Here is a 9566-nt window from a genome sequence, read left to right as displayed (position 1 = left end):
CTCTGTATCTAGCTCAAGGTTTGTAAACACACCAATCAGCACCCTGTGTCTAGCTCAGGGTTTGTGAGTGCACCAATCAACACTCTGTATCTAGCTACTCTGGTGAGGCCTTGGAGAACCTTTGTGTCCACACCCTCTATCTAGCTAATCTGGTGGGGACATGGAGAACTTTTGTGTCTTGCTCAGGGATTGTAAACACCAATCAGCAGCCTGTCAAAACAGACCACTCAGCTCTACCAATCAACAGGATGTGGGTGGGGCCAGGTAAAAGAATAAAAGTAGGCTGCTAGAGACAGCAGTGGCAACCCGCTTGGGTCCCCTTCCACACTGTGGAAGCTTTGTTCTTTCGCTCTTTGCAATAAATCTTGCTACTGCTTACTCTTTGGGTCCACACTGCTTTTATGAGCTGTAACACTCACGGCCAAGGTCTGCAGCTTCCCTCCTGAGCCAGCGAGACCACGAGCCCACCCGAAGGAAGAAACTCAGAACACATCCGAACATCAGAAGGAACAAACTCCAGACGCGCCACCTTAAGAGCTGTAACGCTCACCGCGAGGGTCCACGGCTTCATTCTTGAAGTCAGTGAGACCAAGAACCCACCAATTCCGGACACACCGGGAGGCGGAGCTTGCAGTGAGCCGAGATAGTGCCACTGCACTCCAGCCTGGGCGACTGGGCGAGACTCCATCTCAAAAAAACAAACAAAAAAATAAAACCTTGTCTAATAATTCCAACATCTTTGTCATTTCAGCATTGGCCATCTGTTGACTGTCTTTTCTCACTCAAATTGAGATGTTTCTGATTCTTAGCGTGAAGAGGGTTTTCTGTTGTATCCTGGACATTTGGTTATTTTCTTTTTTTTTGAAACAGAGTCTTGCTCTGTCGCCAGGCTGGAGTGCAGTGGCGCCATCTCAGCTCTCTGCAACCTCTGCCTCCCGGGTTCAAGAGATTCCCCTGCCTCAGCCTCCCAAGTAGCTGGGATTACAGGCACGTGCCACCACACCCGGCTAATTTTTTGTATTTTAGTAGAGACGGGGTTTCACCATGTTGACCAAGATGGTCTTGATCTCTTGACTTCGTGATCCGTCTGCCTCAGCCTCCCAAAGTGCTGGGATTAGAGGCGTGAGCCACCACGCCCGGCCTGGTATTTTCTATGAGACTCTACATTCTGTTTTAACAGGCCCTCCCTGTCACTGTGCCTATGGTGGAATGGGAATGCTACCTCACTACCACCCAGTGCAGGTTGAAGTACAGATCCCCACTGCCTCCGCTGACACCCCAGGGATGGGGGCAGGAGAAGGGGCATCTTGTAACTATTGCTGAGCTCATGGTCTTTGCTGGGAGGTAGAAAGTACACTTTTTTTCTGTAGTATTTTACTAGAGTAAAGGTTTGTTGTCTGAAAGTTTTTTTTTTTTTCATGCTAGTATGTTCCTTTCTGGTCTTTTAGCTGGAAAGAGAAGGCTTTTCTCAGAGCTGTTTTTTCATTGCGCCCATTGGCATTCCTGGCTTGCTGGCTTCTCCAGTACCCAGTCCAAAACATATGAAAACAAAAGAAAACCCAGAGAACTCCCTACCATGTTGTTCTTCAAGATCCCTTGCCAGTTTGCCTTCTTCTCTCAAGCTCTCAGAGTCTGCTTATGTTTACTTTATAATGTTGCATATTTTTAGCTGTTCTTAGCAAGGGAAATAAGGAGAAAAATGCCTCACTGTCCCAGAACCAGAAATGTCACAGCCTTTATTTTGAAAGGTGCCTTCTGTGGATGACATACCCTAAGCCCAGGTGAGCTGCTCCTCTGCCTGACCTGCCTGTTTCAGCTCCCCACTCATCCAGCCTGGCCCCCGGCTGCCTCCCTGCAGCCACTCCCATGGTCTGCGAGTCCCTTCAGAACAAGATCAATATTGTTTTCATTTTCAATTCTACAGGGCCCAGGGATGAATTAACAGAACTAGGTCACAGCATTTTTGTTCACCATCTTTCTTTATAAAAACTCTGCCCTCCATCTCTTTACTGATTAGAGGGTGTCCGAGGCAGGAAATGGTCCTTGGCTCCAGCCTTTTTTTTAGTGGCTGATTCTGAAGAATCTCAATACTCAGAGACTCAGAGAACTCATTTTTGATGGGAACTCCTTAGCTCACCCTGATGGGTTCTTCTTCTCTATCTTTGCTTTTTTTTTTTTTTTTTTTTTTTTTGAGATGGAGTCTAGCTCTGTCACCCAGGCTGGAGTGCAGTGGCGTGATCTTGGCTCACTGCAAGCTCCGCCTCCCAGGTTCACACCATTCTCCTGCCTCAGCCTCCCGAGTAGCTGGGACTACAGGTGCCCGCCACCACGCCCGGCTAAGTTTTTGTACTTTTAGTAGAGACGGGGTTTCACTGTGTTAGCCAGGATGGTCTTGATCTCCTGACCTGGTGATCTGCCTGCCTCAGCCTCCCAGAGTGCTGGGATTACAGGTGTAAGCCACCACGCCCAGCCATATCTTTGCTTTTTAACCAGCATCCCCAGGTGACTGGAGAGACCCAGATCTCAGAGGTCTCCTGAGTGTAAAGGACAAGATGTGTGCTAGTGAGCATCCCAGAGCCCCGTGCAGTGCCACAACATGGCGCAGGTGCCCAGGAAACAGCTGCTGAATGAATTAACAAGCCACATCTTGCCTCCACTGAGTCCAAAAACCTCACACTGCCACAGCATGTTCTGCACACCAAACACAGAGAGAAGAGAAGGTGAGTAATTTGGCCAAAACTATGTGGATTGGAACCTGATAATCCCATCAGTGCTGCTTCCTAATCCCATGTATCAACAGAATTCCCCTCACCCCTTCAGAGGTGATTATTGTAAGGAAGAGATACACACACTCTGAGTGGACAGAAGTAACCAAGAAAATAAGAAACCACTTTGTTAACTTAAAGAGGCTATATAAGGCACATTTACAATGTTGTAATTATTGTCATTATTATTTTAATTATAACTATGAGTACTGCTAGAAGTAATATACTCATGCCTATGTGAAGTTTGTCCCAACAACACTGTGAAATCTCCCAAACTTCTATTCTGGCCCTAACCGATTACATCCATCAACACTTTCCCTTGTTTTCTTCCCTGCATCTCTCTCTCTGAATTCATTATTAAACCCTGAAGTTTTCTTCCTAAAATTTTGCATGATGCTTAATATCTACTCCAAGTCCTAACCATTCTAAATGGAGACTCTCTAAAATGTGCAACTTTATTACTGCAAAACTTTCCATAGCATACAACTTTTTATGACACAGCTTTAAAGGTCACTCATATAAATTCATGCTCTAAACTACATTTAGATTTAAATATTAGGATTAAGAAAAAAATACGGCCGGCTGTGGTGGGTCACGCCTGTAGTCCCAGGACTTTGGGAGGCTGAGGTGGGCGGATAATGAGGCCAAGAGCTCAAGACCAGCCTGGCCAACATGGTGAAACCCCATCTCTACTAAAAATACAAAAATTAGCCTGGCGTGGTGGTGGGCGCCTGTAATCTCAGCTGCTCGGGAGGCTGAGGCAGGAGAATTGCTTGATCCCAGAAGGCGGAGGTTGCAATGAGCCGAGATTGTGCCATTGCACTCCAGCCTGGGTAGCAGAGCAAGACTCTGTCTAAAAAAAGAAAAAAGAAAAAGAAAAGAAAACACACACACACACACACACACACACACACACACACACACATAATATCTATGTGTATTCCTCGAGATACACAAGCAATTTTGAATGCTTAACTTAGAGAAACTATGGATGGACGGATGGATGAATTCATTCATTAATGAACTAACTAAAAGGTTTTATTAAATAACATTCCTTAGGACATAAGGCAGGTCTCTCCCCGAGCTTGCCCACTGTATTCAGTCCAAGCAATCACACCCACATCCTCCCCCACGGCCTCAGTCATTTTCAGAGTGACTCCTAGCCTCCTTTGTCTGCTCCTCCAGCACAGACCACTTTGGCCCTGTCTCGAACCTCCATTTGCCTCCTTGGCTACTCCATCTGGGCATCCTACACCACATGAGCCCTGATCTGTGTGCATGCTGCCAGGAACCCCTCAGCAAGCCTCATCACAAACCCGGAGTCTCCTGTCTTCTCTGCCTCCTGAAAGTACATCTCCAAATCAGCATCTCTCCACTGCCCACCAGCCTCACCCCAGCCGTCTCTCCTGGGATCCCTTTCCTGACCCTGGAATCCATTCCCCACACTGCAGCACAGTGACCCAGCAAGACTAACACCCGTCCTTGCTCATGCCCTGCTTGGAACAGGTCAGCAGTTCCACGGGCTCTCGGAGAAAGTCCAGTCTTGACAAGGCAATGCGGAACCCACTGCAGGCAACACTGAGTGTCCCGGCAACAGAGCCATCTGCCCAGGTTCAAATACTGCATGGCCCTGGGCAAGTTCCATGGCCTCACTGTAAACTGTGGCTACCAACAGAGCCCATCTGGTGGGGATCTTGTGAGGACTAAATGAAATAACAGAGGTACAGATAAGTACAGGAAGCCCAGCATCTGGCACACAGTAAGTGCACACTTTGGCTATTAATAGGGGGCAGCCTCTGGCCCTGCCTCTGATGCACGGTCTACCCACAGCTTCCCAGATGAGATGTGGAGGCAAGGTTTTGAAGAGTGAAGAGGACTTTTCTGGATGGGCCAAGGGTAGGAAGACGCTCCAGGACGTAGGGAAGATCCAGAACAAAGCACAGAGGCATGAAGCCGCACCAGGTGGACATTCACTGACCTCCACCAGGAAGAAGCTCACCAAGGCTCACACTCGCCTCAGACAGGGATCTGGGAGACTGTGTATGCTCGGAAAAGGGTTTCCATGAAAACAATGGTGAGGAGGATGATGACAGCAGAAATGAAGGGGAGGGAAAAGTTGAAGAAGATGAAAGTGCAGGAGAAACCATGGAAAAAGAAGCTGAGTTAGAAGGGAGTAACAATCTCCCATGCTGGTCATGTTCCAGCCTCAGGACTTTCACACACGGTGTTCCTTCGGCATGTGCGAGAGTGCTCCCCAACTCCCCAGCCACGTGGATTCCTCCTGCACTTCCCCAGGCCTCTACTCAGTGCCTCCGGATCAGAGGGCCTTTCTTGCCCAACCAATTCAAAACAGCACCCTCCTCATTGCTGCATAGCCCTCTCTGCCTCACTTTTTTTTTTTTTTTAATTGAGACAGAGTTTTGCTCTTGTTGCCCAGGCTGGAGTGCAATGGCGCAATCTCGGCTCACCGCAACCTCCGCCTCCCAGGTTCAAGCGATTCTCCTGCCTCAGCCTCCCGAGTGTCTGCCTCACTTTTTATGACCTCCATCCCCACCTGACATATTTCACATTTATTTGTGTGTGCCAATCTGACTCCACCAGGATCTTGCTCCCCCAGCAGAATTCTCCGTGGGGTCAGAAACCGCATCTGTTCTATTCCCAGTGCAATCCCCAGGGTCTTCATCAGCATCTGCCACACAGAAAGCTCTTCATAATTCGCACAATAAATAGATGGAAGAGGATGGAGGAGGAGAAAAAGAGGAGTAAGAAGTGCAGGAGAAGAAGGGGGAAGAGAATGAGGAGGAGGAGAAAGAAGAGGAGGAGGAAGAACGACCATCGCCATTGTCATCCAGCAGCCCAGGCTTGAAGCTGCAGCAGCCATCCAAACCAGACGTGGATGCTGCAAAGAGCCGCACTCTGGGTGACAAAAGGACAGGGCTTTAGGAGGTGGCTCTCAAGGCTGGCTGAAGGCTGGACCCTCCTAGAGTGCCTGTAAAAACTACCAAGGAGATAATACACATTTGAGATGATGGATTTGCTAATTATCCTGATTTGCATAATATATACATGATTCAAAATATCACACTGTATCTCATAAGTTGGTACAATTATTAATATTATGTGTCAATAAAAATAAAAATAAGGCCAGGCGCGGTGGCTCACGCCTGTAGTCCCAGCACTTTGGGAGGCTGAGGCGGGCGGATCACAAGGTCAAGAGATCGAGACCATCCTGGCCAACATAGTGAAACCCCGCCTATACTAAAAATACAAAAATTAGCCAGGTGTGGTGGCATGTGCCTGTGGTCTCAGCTACTCAGGAGGCTGAGGCAGGAGAATCACTTGAACCCAGGAGGTGGAGGTTGCAGTGAGCCAAGATCACACCACTGCACTCCAGCCTGGCGACACAGTAAGACTCCATTTCAAAAATTAATTAATTAATTAAAAATACCAATGTCAGACCCCACCCGACCAGCTGCACCTGAAGCTCTGGGGTGAGGCCTGCACATCTGCCCGTGTCTGTGCCAGGTTCCCAGGGATCCTGATTGTCAGCAAGAGATCCAGACCCTGACCCAGGAAGGGCAGGGACAGGCTAGGGGAGAAAGGGCAAGGCTCAGGCTCACAGAGGCCTGCTGGTCTCCCTCCTGTCCAGTGCCGCCTCTGGGCACCCTCCCCCTCTCCAACAGGCTTGCAGCCTCCACTGCCCACACTGTGTCCTTAAGGAGGTAAGTGAGTTGTTGGGGGCCACTTCCCAACTGTCAGCATCCCCAGGACCACCCTCTGTAAATGTCCTATAGGAGAAAGGAAGAGGGTCCTCCCAGGTGGCCTGCCCAAGGCACCTCTTCTGGCATCCCAAGTAGAGGCAGCCTTCGCCCAGTGGGCCAGCGCCCTCCCAGTGGTTCCGCCTGGAGGGAAGTAGGAATGAGGGTGGTTCACTGTTTCTTGTCAGTTCTGTTAAAGTAGAGACATCCTCCTGAGGGAAAAAGCAATAAGAAGGAAGGGCCTGAGAGACCCAGGACATGGCTGGAAAAAAAGAGAACAGTGTGGACCAGAGCAGGCCAAGAGGGCTTCCTGACAGAGGTGGCACTTTAGCTGTGATGAAGAGGCATGGCAGAGCAGTTGAGGATGGGTTGGGGGACAGAGAGGGCAGTCCAGGGCACCGCCTTGCCTGTACTGCATTCTTCAGTTGAAGCCTGGCTGTGTTCCCTGCAAGTTCTCCTGTTACTTCCCTCCTGTGGGTGAATGAGAACAGAGGAGAGGGCCTAGGGGGACAGCAGCCCAGCTTCCTCACTGCCCTCCTGTGTGCACTCCTCTGTCTGGGGAGGGGAAGGTGTTTCTCCCTCCTCCCACTGCTACCCCAGATGCCAGGTCCTGGGCCGGCCCCAGCCAAGAAGAACTGGAACCCTGCAGACTTGCTACCTTGCAGGAAGCTTCCCCCAGCCCTGCCCTTCTAAACAGCAGGTGGCTTCAGCCTAGAGGAGCGGCAGCCATCTCGTGATTGTGAGACAGCATGCCTGAAATCAGAGGCCACATGCAGAGGGCAAAGGGAGGGGACAAGAGGGGAGGAGAGATGAGGGGAGGGGAGGAGAGAAGAGGGGAGGGGAGGGGGATGGGGAAGGGAGAGGAGGGGAGGGGAGGAGAGAGGAGGGGAGGGGAGGAGAGAAGAGGGGAGGGGAGGGGATGGGAAGGGAGAGGAGGGGAGGGGAGGGGACGGGAGGGGAGGGGAGAGGAGAGGGGTGGCCCTCCCCTGATCAGGTGCTCCTTGTTGGAGATGAACGGCCCACCTGCCCACAGCAGTGATCCACTTTTTGCCCAGCATAATCTGGTTGAGTTGGTTTGATGTTTAAAATAAAATTAAATTTAAAAGTTGGTTTTTTAAATAAAAAAGCTTTAACTTGAACCCCTCAAATACATGACTGGCCCCAAAACTCCTGGGCAGCAAAGCGAGGGAGAATAGAAGATGCCATGGGTTTTCCTGCTGGTTGGAATCCTCATGATAGGTGAGGATTTCCTGCTTTCTCAACAGGCCCGGATCGGAGACTGTCATTCTGAGGACTGGCACTAAAACCCCTCTCTCAAAGGCCACCTGGAACTCTAACTGTGGGGCCCACACCTACTCTCAGCTCACATCTTCCGGGGCAGGCACTTCTTTTCTAAAACAAAAACATTTCTTTTTAAAGATATCAGCGTGCCCGACCAAAAATACTAACACAGCCTCTCGGGATGGTGCTGTATCAGTTAGCCAGTAAGAGGCAGGCAGAAGTCCTGGGGGCAGGCAGTCTTCCTCAATTAAACAGCAACAGTGCAACAAGAGCAAAACCTTCCTAGGAGAAGCCCTTTACCCCTTCTGCCTGCCTGCTCTTCCTTCCTGGAACTAAGAGGCACAAGCTGGAGGAGCAGCAGCCATCTCGTGACCATGAGAAAGCATGCCTGAGATCAGAGGCCACGTGCAGAGGGCACCAACAGCAAAAGCGAGGGGAGCACCTGTCTCCCCTGGCATAGTTGAGCATCCCACCCAGCCCAGGATTGCCTGCCATCAGACTTCTTGATGTCTGAGACAGGTGAGGCTGTCGCCAGGCCAGCCACTCTTGGGGGCTTTCCTGAGACATGGAGACTGACACAGGAGTTGCCAGCATGCTCCTCTGGCCTCGCTGCCTCGCCAGAGAGCCTCAGGGCTCCTTTCCTCCATGATGCTCTTTCCTCCCAGCATCCTGACTGCCTCCTCATTCTCCCCCGGTCTCTCCTCTCCCTGATTTGCCCTTTACATCATTGAGTTTTCAAAAGTGTCATGAGCATTCCTCTTTTAAAACCTTCAAATATGCTACCTGGACTTCTCTTCCCCTTTTTTGCCTCGGGTACTTTTGGAGAAGCCATCAAGAGGCTGCCTATTAGGTCAGACCGCCCCCCTGCATACCGCCTGGAATGCACATCTCTCTCTCCTCTGTGGCCTCACTGTGCTCAGAACTGCTGCTTAATGGAGCTTCCTGAGGGCCTGGAGGCTCCTTGGCCTGGGGACAACGTCTCTGTGTTCCCTGATACATCCCAGTGTCAAGTACAATCTCCAGCACATAGTAGGTGCCCAAGAAATCACCACTGAGTAAATCAACAACTATATCATTACACGCACTCTGAAGAAAGACACATCACACAATGAGAGCTCGTTACACAAGCAGATCCACACCTGGTGAGTCTGAACAGGATCCAGTCTGAATGACAGGTGAACGCTGACAAAGTAGGGTGGGAGCAAGAAAGGCTTCCAGGCCAGGAGGATGGAGAAGCATATCCCAAGGCCCTGTGAAGAGGGAAGAGCAGTGCATGAGTAGAGGGTGGTTTGGATGAGGCGAGCAGGGCCAGGCCACGCAAGCCTTGGGGACCTGGCCAGCTGGCTCTTTGTTCTGGAGACTGTGGAGAGAAACCTACAGTTTCCGGTTCCGAAGCCCTTTTGTCTTCAGTGTAGGAGATACTGGAGGAGGGGACATGCATGGTGAACCTCCCAGTGTCCATCACAGGAGTCCAAGAGAGAGTGGGTGGACACTCACCTCTGCAGTCTGCTCTGTCCTGAGGGTTTTATAGGTGGTAGGTCATTCAACTCCCAATAAACTTGAGATAAGGAAACTGAGGCACGGGTGGCTAGGGACCTGTCCAGGCCATAGGGCTGGTACATGCTGGGACCTGGAAGGAACCACACCTCGGTGTAGCCAGGGCCGGCTGGCAGTGTGGGAGAGAGAAGCAGCAGACCGCAGAAGCTCTCAGAGGGAAATGGGTTAGACAGGCTGAGGGAGAAGGTGGGGGATTGCAAAGGAA

At 50.6% G+C, this 9566-nt stretch overlaps 1 annotated feature.

Moving 5' to 3' along the window:
• Positions 6946-7680: an enhancer, noted in NCBI's record as "H3K4me1 hESC enhancer chr2:129421710-129422444 (GRCh37/hg19 assembly coordinates)". NCBI's record gives its function as "activates a minimal SCP1, AML or CMV promoter by ChIP-STARR-seq in primed H9 embryonic stem cells {active_cell/tissue: H9 hESC(primed)}" and the evidence as "EXISTENCE:reporter gene assay evidence [ECO:0000049][PMID:30033119]".

Source organism: Homo sapiens, chromosome 2 (assembly GCF_000001405.40).
Source record: "Homo sapiens chromosome 2, GRCh38.p14 Primary Assembly".
NCBI classification, from domain to species: domain Eukaryota; kingdom Metazoa; phylum Chordata; class Mammalia; order Primates; family Hominidae; genus Homo; species Homo sapiens.
The sequence above is the reverse complement of the archived record's forward strand: the minus strand, read 5'-3'. Positions and strand labels throughout refer to the sequence as shown.